At 38.5% G+C, this 23,718-nt stretch overlaps 1 protein-coding gene across 4 annotated transcripts, besides 1 other annotated feature; it reads left to right on the top strand.

Moving 5' to 3' along the window:
• Positions 1-203: 203 nt before the first annotated feature.
• On the top strand, positions 204-22,407 carry MRPL39 (mitochondrial ribosomal protein L39). Of its 4 annotated transcripts, NM_080794.4 has the most exons (11): positions 582-660; positions 1,408-1,614; positions 4,128-4,267; positions 6,596-6,695; positions 8,197-8,264; positions 10,649-10,761; positions 14,105-14,170; positions 15,098-15,251; positions 19,181-19,228; positions 20,274-20,362; positions 22,309-22,407. In NM_080794.4, the coding sequence occupies exons 1-11, from the start codon at positions 588-590 to the stop codon at positions 22,310-22,312; spliced, it is 1,062 nt and encodes a 353-aa protein (NP_542984.3). In that variant the 5' UTR covers positions 582-587; the 3' UTR covers positions 22,313-22,407. The 4 variants fall into 4 exon arrangements, with proteins under 4 accessions (XP_011527953.1, NP_542984.3, NP_059142.3 ...); XM_011529651.3 differs by lacking the exons at positions 582-660; positions 20,274-20,362 and adding an exon at positions 204-362; NM_017446.4 differs by lacking the exon at positions 20,274-20,362.
• Positions 518-637: an enhancer, noted in NCBI's record as "active region_18314". NCBI's record gives its function as "activates an Ori minimal core promoter by ATAC-STARR-seq in GM12878 lymphoblastoid cells {active_cell/tissue: GM12878}" and the evidence as "EXISTENCE:reporter gene assay evidence [ECO:0000049][PMID:35858748]".
• Positions 22,408-23,718: the final 1,311 nt, after the last annotated feature.

The following is a 23,718-nucleotide window of genomic DNA, read 5'->3' as shown; positions in this document are numbered from 1 at the left end:
CCTCTCCAAAGTCAAGGGGACGTGTTCCGAGGCCTCTATTACCACAGCTAAGGGGAGAACCGGGGTGCAGACCCACTCCAGCCGAACTAAGAACCTACCCGGCACAATTGAAAGTTAAGCCACGCGCTAGAGGATGTCATCGCTGACAAAATAGAAGACGCCTTCCCCATTCCCCCCCACCCCCGCCCCCGCCAAGAAAACCATATATTCTTTTAGGGAAGCAAGCGCTTCACCTGGGTGGCCGGGATCGAACCCGCGGAGGGCTGAAGGCGGAGGGCAACGACGCCTGTGGAACTCTGTTTCCCTGCAGAGCCTACGTGGTGGGCGGCAGGCCGACCGCCCTGGGGGCCCTGCACCTCTGGGTAGGTGACCGCGCCCAGGTATCGAGCACAGGTAACGCGCCCCGGCTCCGAGTCTCGGGGTCTCAGCCACTGAATCCCCAGCGAGGCCTGACGCCCCCCGGTGGAGGCGAGCAGTCTGAGTGCTGGGTCCGGAACAGACCTGTCCTGCGGAACTCCGAGTGCGCGTTCGGTTTCCGGGGGAGGAGGGCGGAGAAGGACTTGCGCGCGACGGTTCTCACCGCTGCTATGGAGGCGCTGGCCATGGGTTCCCGGGCGCTGCGGCTCTGGCTGGTCGCACCCGGTGGCGGGATCAAATGGAGTGAGTTTCAGAGGCCGTAGGGACAGGGAGCGAGGCCTAGATAGTGGTGTCTGTCTAGATTGGGTCTGAGGCGGGGCCGGGGAGGTCCCGCGGGGCAGAGGAAGGAGGAGGGTTTCTTAGTCCCTCCGCGGCGGTCGCTCTTGCACAGCTTGGGAGGACTAATTTATGGGAACGAGGGTCTGGCGGAGGGCAGGGGCAAGGGCAGGGGTCGGGGCCAGGGGTCGGAGCCAGGCCGCGGGAGGAGCTTGGGCCCGCCTCTGGGAAGCAGCGCACGTTCCGTGCACATCTGTCCATGTCTTCCCAAGGAATACTCGTACTTGCCTTGGCAGGTTCCCTGATTTGGCCTTTGGGATATAAACTCAGCATTTCTCATTCTGGATATTGATAGTTTCGGTGTGGGACCTTTGGTTTCCTGAAATTTTCTTGTTTTTCTTCAGACCCTGTCAAACCGACCACTTTGTTCACCTTCCCAATGACTCTAGTCCAGTTTTGACTCCGTTTCCTGGTTACTTTTTGCCCCTTATTGTAAAGCACTGATTGGAAACACGACACAGGAAATTGGTGGGAAATAGCGATCTGATGTGAAAGAGCCAAATTTAAAAGTAGAGGCACGTATCTGGGCCAGCTCTGTTTCTTCCGCTGGTGTTTGTTAATATTACAAATTGGTTTAATTTTACCTCTGAGCGCACTTTTGGCAGTACGTTAATCATTTTTTCAGTCTTCATATTTATTGTAACTTCTCCACAGGATTTATAGCAACATCGTCAGCTTCTCAGCTGTCACCGACAGAATTGACAGAAATGCGGAATGATCTCTTTAATAAAGAGAAAGCCAGGCAGTTATCATTAACTCCCCGAACTGAGAAGATAGAAGTTAAGCATGTTGGGAAAACTGACCCCGGTACTGTCTTCGTGATGAATAAAAACATTTCAACTCCCTACAGTTGTGCCATGCGTAAGTAGCAGAATCAGGTTACAGTTTTGACCCTTTTACTTAAGCTGTGTGGAAGCACTGGTGCAGGAGACAGGATGCTGTAATTACTTCTGGTCATCTGTGGCCATGGCAATCCCTTTATACCAAAATCCTTTCTTGAGACCTGCATGGTGACTGCTCCCACCACATCACAGACCTAGCTAAAAAGAGCAAGCAAATCCCAGCTACTTGGGAGGCTGAAGCAGGAGGATAGCTTGAGGCCAGAAGTTCAAGACCAGCCTGGGCACCATAGCCACCCTGTCTCTCAAAAAATAAAAATAGAAATAAATTAGCCAGATGTGGTGGGCGCAGAAGTCCCTGGACTTCCCAGAGGTTCTTTATCTGGCACCTTATTGTCTATTCACTGTCCCTGTAGTTCTGGAGGGTACTCTGAGTATTGCAAGGTTGGCACTGTAGTGCACAGATTGTCCTGCCTGGCGCTTGTTTGAATCTGGCTTTGTTTATGGTACTAGATAATTTTCTGGCAGAAGGTGACCAGACCTGAGTGCATTGTTACTAGTGTGCTTTCTCCTTTAATTTAATTTAATTTTAGAGATGAGGGTCTGGCCCTGCTCCCAGGCTGGAGTGTAGTGGTACTATCATAGCTCACTGAAACTCCTAGCCTCAGCCTACGAAGTAGCTGGGACTACAGGTGCCCACCATCACACCTGGCTAATTTATTTTTATTTTTGAGAGAGAGGGTGGCTGTGGTGCCCAGGCTGGTCTTGAACTTCTGACCTCAAGCTCTCCTCCTGCTTCAGCCTCCCAAGTAGCTGGAATTTGCTTGCTCCTTTTAGCTAGGGCTGTGATGTGGTGGGAGGAGTCACCGTGCAGGTCTCAAGAAAGGATTTTGGTGTAAAGGGATTGCCATGGCCTCAGATGATCAGCTTTTTTTTGCCGCCTTTTTCTTTCTCCCCTCTTCATTGTATAGCCTAACTTAATCTATCATCTGCTTTCCACTTGGCTCTCTCTGTGTTGTATTTTTGTTGACATTTAGATGTACATGTGGTAAATGTGTGAGTGGGAATGTGCATGGGGTGAATGTGATTGGGGTAAAAGTATTTATGTATATCTTAAAGGAGACAACTGTGCCCCATGTGTGATTTTGTGTGGAAATGAAGGGAATAAGAACTTCTATATTTTATTTTTGATCAAAATGTTTTGATAGTACGTTTGATAGAACTGGTAATATTTAAATTAAAGAAGCCCCAAAACAGATACAGGCATGACTAGCTGCATTGCTTAAACTTTTGGAAAACTCAGTAACCATTCCATTTAAGTAATTAACAACTTTAGTTATCAGCTTAAACTGGCCTAGAGAGTCTACACTCACTCTTAATCTTCCTTCACTCTGGCATTTGAATTAGTACTTATAAATATTTACTCATTTGGTTTTCAAGTATTTCTGGAACCTCTGCGATATGATAGGCATTAGGACTACAGAGGAGGATAAGACAAAACTCAGGCCCTTAAGGAGCTTTATACACATCACATGTAGTGATGAAGCTTCTGAAGCATCCTCAGCATGACCCCTGCAATGAGACGTTCTTGTCATTCATGCTTGCAGTCATTCAGTAAACTGTTATTGAACACCTGCTATATTCCAGGCCTGGTGCTAGACTCTGGATATACTGATGAGTGAGCAAAAGTAGACATGATCCCTGACTTTACGGGGTTTATGTAGTGGTTGATAATTTAGACCTTGTAGTTTGACTACTTTTGTGAGTAGCTGTGTAATTGCAGAACATCTAATTGGCATTAACAGTTGGCATTGCATTCTGGGATGATGAAACAGACCAGAGCTGATTGGCTTATCCGGGAGTTAATATTAATTATTAAAAAATGGTAACTACTGTATTTAACTTGAAGCATCTATGTCATGGAAATAAGAGATGGTTTGGGAGCAAGACCCAAAACCAATCTAGAACTGATTTTTGTAGGTGTGTATTAATATATTTCCCTTTTACTTTGAGTTGTGTGTGTATCTATCCAAATGTATCCATGATGCTGCTCTCTGAATATTCAAGTGTAACTTTTTTCATTAATAATTAGCAAATTAATTTCAAACTAGATGTAGCCTGAACAAATTTTGTAAATGGTTTGGGTAATTTTGTTAATAACCAATAAGACCTTGAGTATATTGGGTATTATTTTATTTATTTATTTATTTTTGAGACAGAGTCTCGCTCTGTCACCCAGGCTCGAATGCAGTGGCGTGATCTCGGCTCACTGCAACCTCTGCCATCTTGGTTCAAGCGATTCTCCTGTTTCAGCCTCCCAAATAACTGGGATTACAGGCACGTGCCCCCACACCTGGCTAATTTTTGTAGGGTTTTTTTTTTTAATTGATTATAGACGTAATATACTTTTTTTCTCTAAAAAGGACAGTCTGCAGAATCTTGCCTTTCCATTGTTATATTTCTAAATATAGCACTTAAACATGTAACTTTTCACTCTGGATTTTGTTAGATAATCAGTCTGTTTTAAATTTCTAGATTTAAGCGAGTGGTATTGCAGGAAGTCCATTCTGGCTCTGGTGGATGGACAGCCTTGGGACATGTATAAGCCTTTAACAAAGTCCTGTGAAATTAAATTTCTTACTTTCAAAGATTGTGATCCAGGAGAAGTGAATAAGGTATTTCTATCTCTACATTCTTTTTCTATTTCCCCAGTATCTTCACCTTTTTATTAAGACCTGTTTTCTATGGGGTGTAATGTAAAAATATGGCCAAGTTCAAATGTTGTATCGTACTCTTTAGTCAATGTTTTACCTGTTAGATTAGGCACTTTTGTAGTTCAGAACTTATCAGTGGCATCCATTTGTGGGTATTTTTGTATGCTATGTCTTTTATATTCATATCTTTGTTCAACTTACATTCATTAATCACTCTCTATATTGTGGGTGATTCCATTTCCACTGCTACTGCTTGAATTCAGCCTTTGACCATCTTATCTAGATGATTTCAATAACTTTTTAACTCTTTCTGCTTACCCATCCCCCCACTATTTTTTTTCGTTACTTAAAAGTTGTTCTTTTACAGGCATATAACAGCTTTATTAAGTGACTTGTCCAAGGATCATGTCACTTAAACCTAAAGAACTTGCCTACCTGTTAACATTCACATAGCTTTCCAGGCCCTGTATAATCTGTTCCCAGCCTGCCTTTCCAGCTTGGCCTCCCCCCTGCTTCTTTCCACTTCCTCCTTGCTCTGGCCTCTTTAGAGTACTTGGTCACTGTATTAGTCCGTTTTCACACGGCTATAAAGAACTCCCTGAGACTGGGTAATTTATAAAGAAAAGAAGTTTAATTGACTCAATTTTTCATGGCTGGAGAGGCTTCAGGAAACTTAACAATCATAGTAGAAGGGGAAGCAGGAACATCTTACATGGAGGCAAGAGAGAGAGTGAGGGAAGAACTGCTAAACACCTTTAAACCATTAGATCTCATGAGAACTCAACTCACTATCAAGAGAACAGCCTGGGGGAAACCGCCCCATTATCCAGTCACCTTCTACCAGGTCTCTCCTTCGTTCGAGATGAGATTTGGGTGGGAACACAGGGCTAAACCATATCAGTCACTAATGGTTTATGCTGTGTTATCCACCTTGCTTTTGTTGATGCTTTCGCCAAATGTGAGCATTTTCTTTTCTCTCTATTAAAATCCTATTTATCTTTTACAATTCAATTAAAAGGCCATCTGCTTTGTGGAAACTTCTAAGTTTCTCCTTGTCAAAATTAATCCTCTTTTCTCTAAGGTCTCACACAACTTGGCTAGTCTCTAGATATGATATTTTAATTTTGTCTTGTAACATAAACGGTCGAATGTGAAGATAGGGACCATTTCCCTTATTGGACCTAGTTCTTGATATACATACAGTAGGTGTTTAATAAATATTTGTTGAAATAGTTGAACAAGAAAATGATAGAAATGACAGTAATAGCCAACAATGAGTATGTATGTATTATGTATCAGGCACTGTTCTAGGTGATTTACAGATATTAACTCATTTAACCTTCATACAAACTCTGTGAGTTCGTGCTATTCTCCCCATTTTCCCGATGAATAAACTGAGACAAAGAGAAGTTCAGCAGCTTGACCAAGGTTACTGATTTAGGAAATAGTGGAGCCCAGATTTGAACCTAGGCATTCTGACTGGAGTTCAACAGACATTTAGAGACATTTAGGTAGGATAGATGAAGAAGTACATGTTGCTACTTGCCTTCAAGGCCTGGGTCTGTACTTATTTTTAGTGTAATATGGTTGCATTGAATTTATAATGGAGAAGTGATCCCACTTTTGTAGTCCTCAGATGTTAAGAAGAGCTTCTGAAAAGTGCACAGAGTAGTGTCAGCAGGAGGGGAACACAATGGACAGGTATGGTGCAGGTTTCTCCTTGTGACTGATCAGGTCATTGCTCTGATACCATATCAGGCATGTCCATGAATCAAAATGTGCTGGTAAGATGAAAGCCCAGTTCCTGCTGCTCTGCTATAAATATGAGTAATCTGAACGATGTGTTAGGGTGTTAGGTAGAGGATAAGAGTCACTAATAATTCATAAAAGTTGAGTTTTTCTCCATATTTATAAATGATACAAAGTTACATAATTAATATATTTATTTTACTTTAGCACAAGTTTGTTAACAAGTTAACTTTATCGTGGGTTAAAAATAAATACTTTCAGGTAATAAAACTATCTGTCGGGGTTGATAACCATTATGGTGTTTGAAATCTTGCACAGAAACATTGCTAAGAACCTGAGGTTCATGCTTCATTCTTTTTTGATTTTTGCTTGGTCGAGGTAACGTCATGGCCTGATGGCAACTGTTGCTACATTGTGTGAACAGAGATATATGAGAAATATTTTCTAAGTCAGAAGTTCACTTAAAATTTAATATTGTCAAAACTTTAGTGAATCTCAGTGTGTTTATATATATTTTATATATGTATATTTTTTTTCTAGGCATATTGGCGTTCCTGTGCTATGATGATGGGCTGTGTGATAGAGAGGGCATTCAAAGATGAATATATGGTCAATTTGGTCAGAGCTCCAGAAGTTCCTGGTAGTGTATACATATATGTCTTTTTGTGATCCTTAAATATTTTGGTACCTATTTTTGATGACGTATAGAGTTTAGTACTAATATAAATTACCATTATACATATGTGTCATTTATCATGGGTAACAAAATCTTTCTTACTATGATGAAACATGAAGTAGTCTTTGCAGGTTAATAATTAACATCATAGAATTACTGGAAAGTGTTTGTCTTGAATATGAATTTCATGGAATTCCACTATCTCAGCGTTTATTTATTTATTTGAGACGGAGTTTCACTCTGTCACCCAGGCTGGAGTGCAGTGGCGTGATCTTGGCTCACTGCAAGCTCCGCCTCTGGGGTTCACACCATTCTCCCGCCTCACCCTCCCGATTAGCTGGGTCTACAGGCGCGCGCCACCACGCCTGGCTAATTTTTCTGTATTTTTAGTAGAGACGGGGTTTCACCATGTTAGCTAGGATGGTCTCGATCTCCTGACCTCGTGATCTGCCTGCCTCGGCCTCCCAAAGTGCTGGGATTACAGGCGTGAGCCACCGTGCCCGGCCCTTAGCGTTTATTTTTTACTTTAAGCATATATTTCCAAATTGGATGTATAGAGGAGGAGGAAATCTGAGTATAAGTAGACTACTGTAAAGAGCTGTGCTTAGGTGGTAATATTTCACCAGACAGGACCATTACTTTGGAAAGTGACAGCACTTTGGTGAAATGACAGGGTGTGGACTGTAATTTTGCTAAAACTAGGATTTTGGAATAGTAAGTATGGTAGGATCACGTGTCAAATTTTTTTTTTTTTTTAAAGAAGTAGATATACCTAAAATATTTGAAAGAAGCTCAAGAAATGATTCTAAGAACAAAACCCCAAAAAGAAGATATTTAGGGGATATAAAAGAAATGTAACATTTTGTATCCATTAAGTTATTTATCTACTTACTAAATATCTTGTTCTTTTGGAATTTTTTTTTTTTTTTTTTTTTTAAGACGGAGTCTCGCTGTGTTGCCAAGGCTGGAGTGCAGTGGCGCGATCTTGGCTCACTGCAACCTGCACCTCCCAGATTCAAGCGATTCTTCTGCCTCAGACTCCCAAGTAGCTGGGATTACAGTTGCCTGCCACCAAGCCCGGCTAATTTTTATATTTCTGGTAGAGATGGGGTTTTACTATGTTGGCCAGGCTGGTCTCAAATTCTTGACCTCAGGTGATCCACCTGCCTTGGCTTCCCAGAATTTTTACATCTGGTAACTGTATGAAATCTGTATGGCAATAGCATTTGTGAAGAAAACTTGAATGTTTAAAAAATATTTGTGATTTGGGGTTGACAATCTTTTGGCTAAGGGAAATTTGATAGAGCTCTGGCAAGCAGCTGGAAGAATGGCAACCATTTTATAATTTGTAGAGTTGGGAGAGAGTGCTAATCCTTTTTATGGTCTAAATATTCAGTTGTTGCAAATTAGTAACTTTCTGTTGGGGCAGATTTGACTTTGCTTTTTATTTTGGTTGGATTTACAGTAATTTCTGGTGCCTTCTGTTATGACGTAGTTTTGGATAGCAAACTTGATGAGTGGATGCCAACAAAAGTAAGTGTATTCTTCTGGAGTATTAATTTTAGAGTGTCTGCCTTTCTTTGTTAGAATGATTCCTATGTTAGTATTGTTGAATGGTACTGCATGTTGAGAACATTTAAAAGAATCTATGTATCTATCTATGTATCTATGTATCTGTCTGTCTGTCTATCTATCTATCTATTGGTGTTGTTGCTTTTTCAGCCTATTTAAGACAGAGGGATGTGAATGAGAGTATTTACATCAACATGGTCAGTTGTCTTGAAACTTTATGTTCTGCTTGACCTTTTCTTGATGTTCCTTCTAAGTGGTTTTAAGGTAGTGGTTTTCAAGAGGCCCAGGATATAAAATATAAAAACTTAACTATCTTGACCCATGTGGTAGTAGGGGGCCTGGAGCCATACTTGTTTGGGTCGCTGGAGCACAATTTGAAAACCACTCCCCTAAACCATTTTAACTTGTTGCATACAGTGAGGTCCCTGTATATACAAGGGTCACATTGAGAGCTGGGTGAATTAAAGAATCAGACTTTGACAAAGCTAATACTCAAGCATCAACAAATGAAATATTAACAAACTAAACTCTTTGTGAATGGTTTGCCTTTGTAATGAGGATGGTCCTTGTTGGTCTGGGACTTGGGTAGCAACAGAGCCTAACAAGGACAGTCTAGATCAGGTGCTCAGTAGGTAAGGGGTGCTGATGGTTATCAAAGATCAAGCCTGGAGATGTAGTTCTGATTGGGGAGAATAGGCAAATACCTAATTCTTAATTAAACAAAACTATATGTCCTATGTATTGGGAGTCTGGAGATCTGAAAAGGGGAAGCAGTGTAGCACATCATTTTATCATTTCCACTGTGTACATTCTTTTTATATTTAATATCTCTGAAAATATATAAGCCTTATATTAGATGGTATCTTGCAATTAGAATTTGTAGTGTTTTTTTTTTTTTTTTTTCCCCTTAGTAATACATCTTAGATTTAGTAAAATACTGTAGTGGTTCTTAAAAGCAAGGATTTTGGAGTAAGGGCAGATCCAGCTTTAAATTTGGCCTTGGAAATTACTTTTTGTATAATCCTGCGCATATTACATAATATTGAGAGGGAGAGAAGAGGGAATCAAGAAAGAATGAGAAAAAGGGAGAGGGAAGAGAGAGAGAAGAGGATGGAAAGAGGGGAGGGAAGGGATTGGAACTGTTTCTTCATGACCTCTGGGCTCCTGTCAGTGTAGCTTCTTCCTTTTCAAGTATGTCTCCAAATTTAAGATTTTTTTTACTGGGGCAAGTTAGGTAAAAACTGAGGTCAAGATTTAATTTTCATTATCTGTGAAACATAACTGCTTTTTTCTTTCTTTCTCTCTCTTTTTTTTTTTTTTTAAAGAGATGGGGGTCTCACTATGTTGCCTAGGCTGGCCTTGAACTTCTGGGCCCAAGCAATCTTCCTGCCTCAGCCTTTCTAGTAGCTGGGACTGCAGGTGTATGCCACTGTGCTTGGCTTTTGCATTTTTCTTTTTTAAAAGATAAAACCTTACAAAAGAAATATGTGAGCTGATTGCAGACTCCATGGAGTTGGGTTGAGTAGACAGCTTAAAGAAAGTAGGGTAGAGTTACATTGAAGGAATAGTTGTATTAAACCATGAATGTTGATTTTTTTATACAGTAAATTATTCTTTATAGAGAAGTCATTTCATGCAAAAAAGTCTAATAGGATTTTTATGGAAATAATTTCATTATAAAAATTACTTGTGTAATAGTGCTTGGTTTTTTCTGTGTTATTAGTAATGATTTACAGTATGAAAGCTCAATTAGAATTTTTATTAAAAATCTTAAACACATTGTTAATGTGTATTCTTCATCATTTTAATTGTGTAAAATTGACATTTTTATTAAGCAGAAACTTTTAATATTGGACATGCTATACTTTGCACAGGGTGGGTGATGATGCTACATTTCTAGTGAAACTTTCTTAATTAAGAAAACAATAATTTTTCCCCATATATTTAATAAACTTAGATTTATTCATACTGTAAACACATTTTTATGTCTTGCTATTTATTTATTGGCATTTTTACTTGCTGCATCATAGTTTTAATAAACATTTTAAGGTTGTATAATTTGGATGAAATTATATAATTTGGATAAAATTTCTGTATAGTTTTCTCTTTAATAATTAGTATTAATGAAGGCTGACACCTTAATTACAGGTAAATAAGAAGTTTTATAGTTTATGGTCCAAAACTTCAGTTGTTGCAAATTAGTAACTTTCTGTTCTAACAAATTTGATTTTATCTTTTATTTTAGTTGGATTTGCAGTACTAAGCATAGAGTTTTGTTTCAACTGGCTTATGGAGAAATGCTTTTCAGTGAATTGTTACTAAAGGTTATTACTTTCATTTTTAAGGAGAACTTACGTTCCTTCACAAAAGATGCTCATGCTTTAATTTATAAAGATCTTCCATTTGAAACTCTGGAAGTTGAAGCAAAAGTGGCATTGGAAATATTTCAACACAGCAAGTAAGTGTTGGCTTTCTTTAAATCAAGGCTAACTCTCCCAGTATTATATGTAATAAAGAAAATTCAGGTCTTAAAAATTTTTATATTTGATATACATGTGACAGTGTATTATTTTCCAGTCTGAGACCTCTGTGATCTCATTTATTTCGCTGAGGAAAATGTTACCCATGTCCCTTGATAATTTTCTCACTTTGTTTTACTTCTCTGTTCTTGGACCAGCCTTTCTCATTATATCAACATAGTGGCATGTTTCCCTTTTTTCTTTCTAGTGTGAAGTGATAATGTACGTTAAGCGACTATATAATTGTGTGTATTTGGCAGTGTTTCTCTCCTACCCCTCCACACTTAAAATGACACTGATAAGATTGAAAATGCAAGCAGTTTGGGAGGGGGCTGACAGCTGAAGTAAAATGTTTACACAGCCAGGTCTTAATCTTCTGCATGTGAATTATTCATTTGATGGATTTTCTTTAACATTTTAATTCCTGCCTGGCTTCTCAGTTCTCAGAAAACTTTCAGTTCACCTTCTACTACCAGTTGTAAGAACATGAGCTAAATTTTAACATTAATCTAATACAATATTAGAACTAACTAGAAAGAGAAACCTGTGCTGTAAAAAAAAAAAAATAACAGAGTCTGAAGCCAAAATATGCACCTAAGAATTGTGAAAGTTTACTGATTAGAATTTCTTTAGGTATATAGAAGTTGAATTACAAATTCTCATAGGGATAGGTTATCGTAAATATATTGGGTTATGAGTGTGTTTTTGACACATACTTTATAGCTTGGCATTTCTCAAAGCAGTCTGTCTTATAGTATTCTTCTATAGGATGTTAATTGACATGTGAAACCATGTACTGTGTTAAGCTGAGTTTGAAGAACAGTGGCTTAAAAAATTTTACTCGGCTGGGCGCGGTGGCTCACGCCTGTAATCCCAGCACTTTGGGAGGCCGAGGCGGGCAGATCACGAGGTCAGGAGATCGAGACCATCTTGGCTAACACGGTGAAACCCCGTCTCTTTTAAAAATACAAAAAATTAGCTGGGCGTGGTGGCGGGCGCCTGTAGTCCCAGCTACTCAGGAGGCTGAGGCAGGAGAATGGCGTGAACCCGGGAGGCGGAGCTTGCAGTGAGCCTAGGTGGCGCCACTGCAGTCCGGCCTGGGCGAAAGAGCGAGACTCCGTCTCAAAAAAAAAAAAAAAATTTTTACTCATCGCACTCAACGGTCTCCCAAAGTGGACATTGAAAATTTCCCAAATATATTTGCCCATGAAACACTTTTTCTTGAAACATTTTTAGCGTGTCCTGGAACCAGTGGATTTAGAAACCAGTTGTAATGTACTGTTTTAACTAGAGTACAGATAGTATTGTAGAACCAAACCACCATTTATAGCATTGATTCGACAAGAAAATTCTTTGGACTATCTGAACACGTGAAGTCACTCTCTGTGACAAAAGTCTAGGCACATGCTGCCCAAAAGAAATATAATATGAGACATCTGTATAATTTGAAATTTTCTGTAGTTGCATTGAAAAAAAGTCAAAACAAAAGTTGAAGTTAATTTTAATGATTTTATTTAAATGATACATCTAAAATGTTACTCAGTGTAATCAATATTAAAATATTGATGTTATTTTATATTCTTTTTCACTAAATCTTCAGAACCTGGTATGTGTTTTACACTTAAGGCACATTTTAACTAGTACTAATCACATTTAAGTGCACCATGGTACTTTACTGGACAGTGTACTTTTGACTTCCATTCAGTACACATTGAGATTTCCCATTCCTCTAACTGTCAAGGACTGGTAGCGGCTTCTGGGACTTTTGTAACTTAGTTGAGTGTGTGGTAGGAGGAAGGGGATAATTCTGGAGGAAGCTTGATAGGACAAAAGAGTTGGTTCATTGAAGGTGGGTCAGTGATTGAGTCCTTCTGCTGCAGGAGTAAGGGTGGGACCTTTTTGTGGCTTTGACTCTCAGGGGACAGGAGCATCTCTTGGAGGTGGGTCAGGAGGGATAAGTATTCAAGGGAATTGGCACCCTTATTAGTGCCTGGGGGACTGTAGCAGTCAGTGGGTGTTTTTGCATAAACCAGTGTTCCCTAACTTTGCCACATAATTGTGCATACACCTGTGGTGCACCTACACATATTACTTGTTTAGCACCCTGAGGTAAACAGACAAAGCTCTCAATAGTAAATGGTAAAGTCATGGTTTGAACCTGGGCTGTGCAGTTTCATCTGTGCCTTTAGCTATACTGACAGAATTGGGTAGATTTGAGAGATACTGGGCAGTCAAATTGACAACTTGATAATGAATTGAATAAAGGAGATATGGTAGGAGAAAGGAATCAAGGAAATCTCCCAGGTTTTTCACATGGACACCTGGGTGGTTGGTGGTATCGTACTAAGACAGGAAATTCAGGAGGAAGAACAAGTTTGGGCGGGGAAAGAGGTGGTAATTTGTGCAGTTTGCAAATTTCAGGGTAAGGTGCTTGTGGAACATCCTAGAGGATGTCCAAATGGGTCTTGGATATACAGTTTGGTGGTCAGAAGAGGTAGGTAGATTAGAAGCAGAGATATAGGACATACAACTACATAAGTTGTAGCTCAAGGGGCTGACCTAGGGAGGATGCTTAGCGTGAAAAGAGGGTGTAGGATAGAATTCTCAAAGGGTAGAGAAAGACAGGAGTGGCCAGAGATGTAAAATAACAAGCAGTAAGGAATGCCACTGATACCCATGGAAAGAGCACTTTGAGGCTGGATGTGGTGGTTCATCGCTATAATCCCAGCATTTTGGGAGACTGAGGCAGGAGGATTGCTTGACACCAGGAGTTTGAGACCAGCCTGAGCAACATGGCAAGACCCTATCTTTACCAAAAAAAGTTAGCCCGGCATGGTGGCTCACACCTGTAGTCCCAGCTACTTGGGTGGCTGAGGCAGGAGGGTCGCTTGAGCCCGAAGTTTGAGACTGCAGTGAGCTATAATTATGCCACTGCATTCCAGGGTGGGTGATAAGAGTAAGACCCTGCCTCAAAAAAAAAAAAAAAAAAAAGAACAAAGAAATAAAAATGGAAAGAAAGAACACATTGAGAAGTGGAGGTGAGCATTGGTATTAAGAAAATGAGGACCAAAAAATGTCCACTGGGTTGACACCAAGCAGGTCTGTGACTTTGTTGAGAACAGTTTGGCAGAGTCATGGGGCTGTGGCCAGATTAAAGGGAGGTTCCAAGTGTAACCTACTCTCAGAAAGTATGGCTGAAGAGGAAGAGAAAGGGAGGTATCTTTAAACACCTTTTTACATATTTTGAGTTAAAAAAATGTTTTTTTCTTTGCTGCTTTTCAGGTACAAAGTAGATTTCATAGAAGAGAAGGCATCTCAGAACCCTGAGAGAATAGTCAAGCTACACAGGTAAGTAAAAGTCTAAAAACTGGCTGCTATGTTAGAGTAAGGCTTAGCTTTATTGTTATCTGAATGAAGCATATGACCAAAAAAGATGAATTTGTGTCTTATTTTGTTCTTATTACCTTATTTTTGGTTGCTTCGTTCATTGTTTTGTTATGGTGGTAAATGGAAGCTTTAAATTATCTTCAGGAACACTTGTGGTTTCTATAATCCTCATTTTATTGTTTGCTATTTTTATTTAATTTTGAGTTGAAAACCACTGTTTAAGAATGTAATTTTTAGGTGTTTTGAAACTGGGCAAGATAGTCATTGTGATGAATTGAACATCGTAATTCATATGAATACTGACTAACTAGTAATTACTTAAGATACATGTAAGTTAAGCCAGAATGTGCTTTCTCAAGCATGGATGAGAAAGGTCCACTGCTTATGATGACGTTCTCCCATGGGGAGCAAGTCCCAAGACAATGCATTCTGCAGAAATGACTTCATGACCTGGATCCATTTTCTCAGCCTCCTGTTTTTATGAATTGGACTTCACTTTTTTCCTCTAGAAACTGCCCTTTGTTTCTGAACACAATCTGTCCTACACACTGAATTCTCAGCTTCGTTACATGGGTTATTGTAAGGTTGTAGATGATCGGTTTTAGGCAATTGGATCAGCTTGATAGCATGATGTGTTGCGTGACTCTTAAAGACCTTAAAACCTATATCAATGCTAATTAAGAAAATGGTTCATTTGATTTAATTTTCAAAGTTTTAGCCTCTTTACTTGAGATCATTATGTCAGGGGTCATTAGAAACTGAATTGAACCATATATAATGTTCTTGATTAGGGATGTTAGCAGCAAAGAGAAGGAAGAGATTTCTTTTTCAAGCTCTTACAAATTATTTGATGTTGCAGTTTTGTTTATTTATTTTTAAATCAATCAGAATAGGTGACTTCATTGATGTGAGTGAGGGCCCTCTTATTCCAAGAACAAGTATTTGTTTCCAGTATGAAGTATCAGCAGTTCACAATCTTCAACCCACCCAGCCAAGTCTCATACGAAGATTCCAGGGCGTGTCTTTACCTGTTCACTTAAGAGTAAGTAAAGCTTAAAGTTCTAGGTCTTCCAATTTGGGTATAGATATAATTCCGGACTTGATTTTATACCAGTTTGAAGAATATAAACTTTTAATTTTTCTTAAGTTATGTGACACTAATATTTTATAAACTCAGGTTTATGATTAAAAACAAAGTTGCCCAGGGTGTAAATATACAATTACAAAAGAAACATTAGTTGAAAAAATTAAATTGACATAGCATTTAAAAATTTCAAGTTAGCATAGGTGAGGGTACATTGACAGAGGGGGTATTAGAGTGCGTATTGGTAAGACTTCCTGGAATGCCTTTTAAGCTTAAATTTGGCATGCTCTTCCCTCTAATTTTAATGATCCATCATGACCCGAAGCCTGACATTTTCCACATTGCTCCCACCCCTTGCTAATCTTTTTATTTAAATTTTTGATTTTGAGATAATTGGGTTATAAGACATAGAGAGATCCCATGTACCTTTACTTGGTTTCCTCAATGGTAGCATCTTGCAGTACTAAAATACAGTATCACCACCAGGGTATGGACAGCGATACAATGAAGATACAGGACAATTCCTTCACTACGGGGATCCCTCATGTTGGCCTTTTATAGACACACGCATTTACAGCCACTTCCCTCTGTTGCCCCCATTACCCTGCCTGCTTACCCCTGCCAACTACTTATCTGTTTTCCTTTTCTATAATTTTGTCACTTCAAGAATATTGTATGAATGGGATCAAACGGTATGTAATTTTTTGGGATTGGCACTTTTCACTCAGTATAATTCTCTGGAGATTTCATCCGAGTACATTGAGTATATCAGTAGTTCATTCATTCTTATTGCTAAGTAGTATTACTTGGTCTGGATGTATCATGGTTTGTTTAACCATTCATCCATCAAAGGACATCTGAGTTATTTTCAGTCTTTGGCTATTACAAATAAAGCTGCTGTGACATTGTGTGCAGGTTTTTGTGAATATTTCTCTGGGATAAATACCCAGGAGTGCAATTGCTGGGTCATATGATAAGTGTATGTTTAGTTTTTTAAGAAACAACCAAAGTGTTCCAGAGTGACGGTACCATTTTACATTCCCACTGGCAATGTGTGAGTGATCAGTTTTTCCACATCCTCACTAGCATTTGATGCTGTCACTACTTTTTTTTTTGTTTTAGTCATTCTGATATGTTTGTAGTGATTTCTCATTGTAGTTTTAATTTGAATTTCTCTGTTGACCAATGGTATTGATCATTTTTTCATGTACTTATTTGCCATCTGTATATCTTCATTGGTGCAATGTCTGTTTATGTCTTTTGCTAGTGTTCTAATTAGATTGTTTTACTTTTTAACAGTTGAGTTTTGAGAGTTCTTTATATGTTGTAGATACTAGTTTTTTGTTAGATATGTAGTTTTCAGATTTCTCTCTTTTTCTGTCTGTACCTTGTGTTTGTATATGTGGCTTGTTTTCTCATTCTCTGAGCAGCCTTTTGCAGAGAAGTTTTTAATTTTGATGAAACTAGTTTATTAAAATTTGATAACATTTTTGTTTTTATAGATTATGTTTTTGGGGTTAATTCTAAGAACTCTTTGACCAGTCCTACATCCCAAAGATTTTCTCCTTTTTTTTTTCCCTCCTAAAAGTTTTAGAGTTTTACATTTGTTTAAATCTGTGGTCCATTTTGAGTTAATTTTTCTATGAGTGTGAGATTTAGGTTTAGGTTTTTTTTTTTTTTTTTTTTTTTTGTGGGCTATAGATGTCAGATTGCTCCAACACCATTCGTTGAAAAGGCCACTCTTCCTCCACTGAGTTACTTTTGCATCTTTGTTAAAAATTAGCTGAGCATATTTATGTAGGCCTATTTTTGGGTCCTCTATTCTGTTCCATTGATCACATATGTTTAGCTCTCTACCAGTACCACCCAGTCTTGATTACTGTAGCTCTAAATAGGCTGTGAAATCAGGTAGAGTAATTCCTCCCTTGTTACTGTTTTTTAATCAAAATTGTTTTAACTCTTCTAGTCTCTTTGAGTTTCCATTTAATGTTAGGATAATATTTTCAATGTCAACAGAGTCTTCCTGAGATTCTGATAAGTCCATTAGACCTGTATAGCAGTTTGGGGAGAATTGACATCTTTAATATGTTGAGGTTTCCAGTCTATGAACTTACTGTATCTTCTTATTTATTTATATCTTCTTTCATCCCTCTCATTTTGTAAAATTTAGCACACCTCTCCTATACATTTGACTTTGACTTTTCTCCACATACCTGCTTCCTTTCCTAGCCTTCCCAATTTCAGAAAATGGGATCATCCTTTAACTCAAGCTTGTCCAACTCACAGCCCATGGGCTGCATGCAGTCCAGGACGGCTTTGAATGAGACACAAATTTGTAAACTTTCTTAAAACATTATGAGGTTTTCTTGCGATTTTTTTTTTTTTTTAGCTCATTAGCTGTCATTAGCGTTAGTATATTTTATGTGTGGTCCAGGACAATTCTTCTTCCAGTGTGGCCCAGGGAAGCCAAAAGATTGGATACCCCTGGTTTCCTTAGTTGTTTAAGGTAATCCTTGATTCTCTTTTCCCCTCATAGCCATGCCCCAGCCCATCCATCCGCAAGTCCTTTCAACTTTTAACTCTGAAACATATTCTGAATCTATGCACCTTATAACATCTCATCTACTACTACTTCCCTTATCCAAGTTCCTCTTTGTTTTCACTCACCTTCCTTGCTTTCACTCTTGCCATCTACAGTGCATTTTCCACTTAGTAGCCAAAGTGATCTTTTTAATACACAATCTGTTATGTACTTCCTCTGCCCCAAACTTTCCAATGGCTTCCCTTGAACAAATCCCAACTCTTTACCCTGTCTCACAAAGCCCTGCATTATCTGGTCCCTGCCTGCTTCTCTGACTTTATCTAACACCACTCCTTTCCTCACTCACTATATTCCAGCCACAGCTTAAGGTCTCTGCACCAGCAGTTCATTCCGCCTGAGTCAGGCATGGTTTTCCCTTTAAACATACCAGTCAGCTCTTTCCCTGGAAGGGTTTGTATGTTGATATTTATTAATTTTACCTTTTATTATAGATTTTATGAGCTCATTCAGTGTGGAGTAGTCACTGGCCTGCCCATATGTCTTGTTACCACTTTCAGTTGACCTAATAAAATTGATGTGGTCATGATACACTTTGCACAGTTTTCTTTAATGCATTCTGATAATCCTCTGCTACAGGAGGTTGTTATGGACTAAGGAAATTGAGTTTAAATTTTACTATTGTCTTGGGAGGCTGAGGCAGGAGAATTGCTTGAACCTGGGAGGCGGAGGTTGCAGTGAGCTGAGATCGCACCACTGCACTCCAGCCTGGGCGACAGAGTGAAACTCCATTTCAAAAAAAAAAAAAATTTACTATTGTCTTTGTTAGGTTTTACTTATTCTTTAGGGTAACTTGATGAATCCTCTGCTTCTGCCATTTCAGTGTGAAGATGTCACAGTTGGTTTTTAATGACTGTCTTCTTGTGATTGCTTATGATTTGAAGAATGACTTCTAGAATGTTGAAACTGGCTGTTTAAGGATTGAACCACAGTCTATGGGAAAGTAGGGCAGATTTTTGCTTCCTATTAGAAGAAATGCTTTCTATGATGGAAATGATTAAGATGGGCAAAAGTGAAAGAAGGGCACGTTCAATCCTTAAGCGTTTTTTTCTTAAATGCTCACTGCAACCTCTGCCTCCCGGGTTCATGCGATTGAAGAAAGCAAAAAAGCAGCTATCCCCATGTAGCACCTTTTTTTGCTACTATGATCCACTTTTATAACCACTTATCTAAATTAGTACTGCCTAGCTTTTTATTTATTTTGTTCTAAAAGCTATATAAAGACTCTGTCCTTTTTACTTTGACATTACTGCTTCATTTAGTTCATCGCAAATCTTTTCTTTTCAAGGCACATTTTACAATATGGGATAAGCTATTGGAAAGATCTCGGAAAATGGTAAGTGTTTTTGACAGCTATTGAGTACTCTTCTATAAAGAAATTCATCAAAATTAACCAATAACAACCAAAGGGGGGAAAAATGAAAGAAACAAAGAGAAAGGAAAAAAGTAAGTTGTCTCAATAGTCAAAGCAGTGTTGTGATTGTTCACTAGTGTGTTGGTAAGGGTAAAGTTGTAACTTGGCAGTTCTCTTTTGATTTTATTTGTTAATATCGTGAAAATGATATTGTAGAACTTGAAGAGAAATAAGAATATTACTATGTAATAGTAATAGTTCTTAATAGTTGTAATGGTATCAGTTAGGTCTTAGGATTTATTTTGTAAACTTAATGAATATTTAGAGGATTAAGATTTGTCAGGTGTATTTTAAAGCCGCCTTTAGCCATTAACAGTAAATGTGCAAATATCCTAATGTCCTGAAAAACCAGATTTGAATGTTTGTGTTTTTGTAGTTTATTCTTTGTCATTAGCATTTAGACTTAATGAGTAGGAATGATAGTATTTCTTTTCTTTTTTTTTTTGAGACAGAGTCTTGTTCTGTCTCCCAGGCTGGAGTGCAGTGGCGCGATCTCAGCTCACTGCAACCTCCACCTCCCGGGCTCAAGCGATTCTCGTGCCTCAGCCTCCCAAGTAGCTGGGACTATGGGTGCCCACCACTACGTCCAACTAATTTTTTTGTATTTTTAGTAGAGACAGGGTTTTACCGTGTTAGCCAGGATGGTCTCGATCTCCTGACCTCGTGATCCACCCCCCTCAGCCTCCCAAGGTGCTGGGATTACAGGCGTGAGCCACCGCGCCCGGCCCGGGTGATTGTATTTCTTGACCACAACTATTCCTGTTTCCTATTTCATAGGCTAAGTGTGCCTCTTTTACTTAGGTTATCTGATAGCTGTCCTGTGTAATCTGTCCTCATTAGGACTTCCTCCTTATCCTAATTTCCCACAATGCCACAAACACTGGTTAAGCTTGCAGGCACATTAAGCATCACACATTAAACTTATTTTCAAGTTTGCTTATTTCTTCATGATAGTTTTTCTTTCTAGACTCCATTTCCCATTCTCCTTCTATTTACTACGCAGTCATTCTTCACTACCTCGCCTGAGTCGTACCTCCTCCATGGAACAGTCTCAGAGTAATCTCTAACAAATAATTATTCATATAAGTTTGTGCTTGATTGTATATGTCCACATACTATTTTTTGATTGTTTTCTTTGCCAGTACATTTATTTTCTGTCTGTTAAGCCTTTCAGGATTTGTTATATTTGTGTAAGCCCAAATTTTGAACACAACATTAGCACATGAAGGGGTTACCCAAGAAATATTTATTGACAATTTTTCATAATGATATATAAACCTAGTCTTTATTAATGACTATGTAGATAGGAATTATTGTTTAGGGACTTCACCATAATGTTCTTGAGTAAGGGTTATATAATTTTTTTTCTCATGAGAAGAAATTACCTTTGAATGGATGGAGTAATTTTCTCTTTTTAGTTGGTCACAGTGATCATTTTAGATGAAGAAACTAAAGAAAAAATGTTCAGCATGTTTACTTGGAGTTAAGTAAAATTAAAAAAAATTTAAAAAGCTAAAGAATATTAAAGAAATAGTTTGGAAAATTAAAGAAGCAGTAGTAACTGAACACTTTAAAGGAATGAAAAATGTAGAAAAACGGCAGAGACAGTGTCTTACCTAGAATATCTAGTGATGTTAGTCAATACATATTTTTTCAAACATTTATTCTGGTTTAGTTGCTTTTTTCTACTGTCCATTTTGCTTTTCTGAAGGGATTAGATTAAACGTGGTTCATTGATGCAACACAGACTTACTGATTGTTTATTGTGTGCCAGGTACTGTTATGGTCTGGAGGTACAAAAAAATGCACAAAATTTACTTGCTGCCTCAGGGAAGTAATGTTGATTGGATAATTAGACTTATAAGCAGACAGTTCAGGTGTACATGTGGGGCTCTGGCATAAAGAAGAGGACTCAGACCAAGCTGGGGAGTTGCTTAAGGAAGGCTTCCAGGAATTGGAGTCTCTTAAGCTGATTTTAAAGGGTGAATAAAAGTGGACCATGCAGATAATCTGTTGGAAAATGGGTTGGAGGTTATCTCAGAGGAAGTCACTTGCCTACATAGAGAACATGATGAATGTAAGATGAATTTGAATGTACAGGTCACATGTAGGATAGGTAAAGAGTCAGTCCAAAAACAGAATATGAGGGGCTTGTGTCCCGTGTTGTGGAACTTGCATTCCTGACTTTCCTCCTCCACCCCACTGAGATGCTAGAGAGTAACTGGAGAATTTTGAGTAGGGAAGTGACCTGTTGATCAGCTATTCTTGTTTAAAAGCTCATTCTAGGGGTAGCATGGGATATAGCTGTGACTTAAGCCAAGAGTTCTGTTAGGGGGATAGAAGAGAATGAGGTCCTAAAGTTCAGCCGCGATAGGGAGAATGACTGTGAGAGTTAACTTAGGCTGAATTAGTAGGACTGTTGATGGAATATGCAGGTAGGAAGAAGAGAGTGAATTCTTGAATGCTGTCCTTAGGTATCTGGGTGGAGCCCTTTACCAAGATAGATGATGCAGGTAGGACAGGTTTTGGGGTGTTGAATTCAGATTTAGCCATGTCTGTTTGATGAGTCTGAGTGACACAGAATAGAAATAGGGACATAGAGATATCTATTTAGACTAAATCTGTAATATGTTCTATTCTAAATGGAATTATACTCCAAAAGAAAATAAACTGATTTAAAATAGCTTGTTACAGCACTTCAGGTGTTTTTTCTTACACTAATGATTTTGTTTTACGGCTGAAAAGTAAAATGGCCAACTTGAGAAGCCTAGGTATAATATGCCTTAGATTATATTTTTGAATGGAATTATTGTTCTTTACCTGATAATTTATATTGGTTACTTGGCCTTTAAATCTTTCTTCTTACCTAACTTTCTATTCTACTATTTAAGGGGAAAGATAAAGGGTCATTATAAGAGGGCTGTGGAATGATTTAAAATGGTGGGTGAAGGGTAAAACTGAAAGTGTTTATTAGGAAAGTAAAGCTATTCATGTTTTTACAGGTAACTGAAGATCAAAGTAAAGCAACAGAGGAATGTACATCTACCTAATAACTTTCTAAAATTTAAATATGTATAATAAAATAAATGTTTTAAATATAATGTTTGTGTGTGCTTATACAGATTAACCCTTTCTCCCCAAGATTGATAGTGATCTTTACTTTTTCTTTTCTCTAAAGTATGAAACACTTCATGTTGCTTAAGTAAAAACTGTACAAAAACAGGTCACTCCCTTCCTGCTCCATGGATGCAACACTTTAGCATGTTTTCTCTATTTTTTCCTACAGATCTAGGCAGATACATACAAATATAAATGTAATTTCTAAAAAACATAAATAGGACCATACTATACTTGCTTGCGTTTTTTGCCGAACAGTGGCACAGTAAACATCCTTGTGCAAAAATGGCAAATGTTTGTAGATAAGTAATATTAACTGAGTATTTATCATGTGCTGGGTCTTGTGCGAAGCCCATCACGTGTGGAACCTTTTCTATAATCCTCATAGTGACCTGTTGAGAAGATGTTTCTATTTTTTAAATGAGGAAACAGCATAGAGCTTGAAAGTGGTAAAGTGGGAATTTGAACGGAGGTAGTTTCACTCACATGCTCTTATGTTCTACTCTATGTTGCCTCACGTATAAATAATTCTGTAGAAATAGATTTCTGGCAGTGGAATTACTGTCAGGTGCTACCAGATGCTGGCTTCCCAAAGGTTTTGCCAAGTGTTACTCCCAATAACTGTCTAAGAGTGCCTGTTTCCCCACACCTTGAGTAAGCCTTGGTTATCAGTCTTACAAAAATATTTTGCCAAAAAGTTTCTGCTTCTTTGTCAGCAAGTTTTCTGCATCTTGTGCACAGGCTTCCTCTGAAGGCCGTATTTTTTTTTTTTTTTTTCTGGGTGAGGTCAACTTTTTCTTAGAGTCCATATCTTCCTGTTTCTTGATTAACTTTCTCATTTTGCTAGCATTTGTCTCTAAGCTCCTTTCTAGGAAAAAATGTCTAAGAGGTGAGCCATTGCATGTCTAAAGTGGGTTATGCGCTTACATTTGATGAACTATTCAGCTAGATACAGAATTCTAGATTGAAAAGTAGTTTTCTCTTAGAACTTTGAAAGCAGCTCAGTTATTTTCTGGCATCTGATTTTGCTAATGAAAGGTCTGATGCCAGTCTGATTCTTGTTCCTTTTTTATATAACCTGTTCTCTGCATCCCCTTCTCTCAACACACTCTGGACACTTAGGATCTTATTATTCTTGGTGTTGTAAAATTCGACAATCCTGTACCTGTATCTAGGTCTTCAGTCAGTTATTCTGCTTGGTACGTAGGCGATCCTTTCAATTTTTGACATCTCTCTTTTATGTTTTTTTACTTTATTTGTTCTTTCTTTTCTCTGGAGGTTCTTTGTTTCTCTAA

This window comes from Homo sapiens, chromosome 21 (assembly GCF_000001405.40).
Source record: "Homo sapiens chromosome 21, GRCh38.p14 Primary Assembly".
In the NCBI taxonomy this organism is placed as follows: Eukaryota; Metazoa; Chordata; class Mammalia; order Primates; family Hominidae; genus Homo; species Homo sapiens.
Note: the sequence above shows the minus strand (reverse complement) of the source record. Positions and strands in the feature narration are given on the sequence as shown.

Bases quoted from the DNA above. Each gene is read 5' to 3' on its own strand.
- MRPL39 (NM_080794.4), top strand. From the start codon at position 588: ATGGAGGCGCTGGCCATGGGTTCCCGGGCGCTGCGGCTCTGGCTGGTC. The intron at 661-1,407 runs GTGAGTTTCAGA...ACTTCTCCACAG, and splicing joins CGGTGGCGGGATCAAATGGA to GATTTATAGCAACATCGTCA. The intron at 1,615-4,127 runs GTAAGTAGCAGA...TTAAATTTCTAG, and splicing joins TCCCTACAGTTGTGCCATGC to ATTTAAGCGAGTGGTATTGC.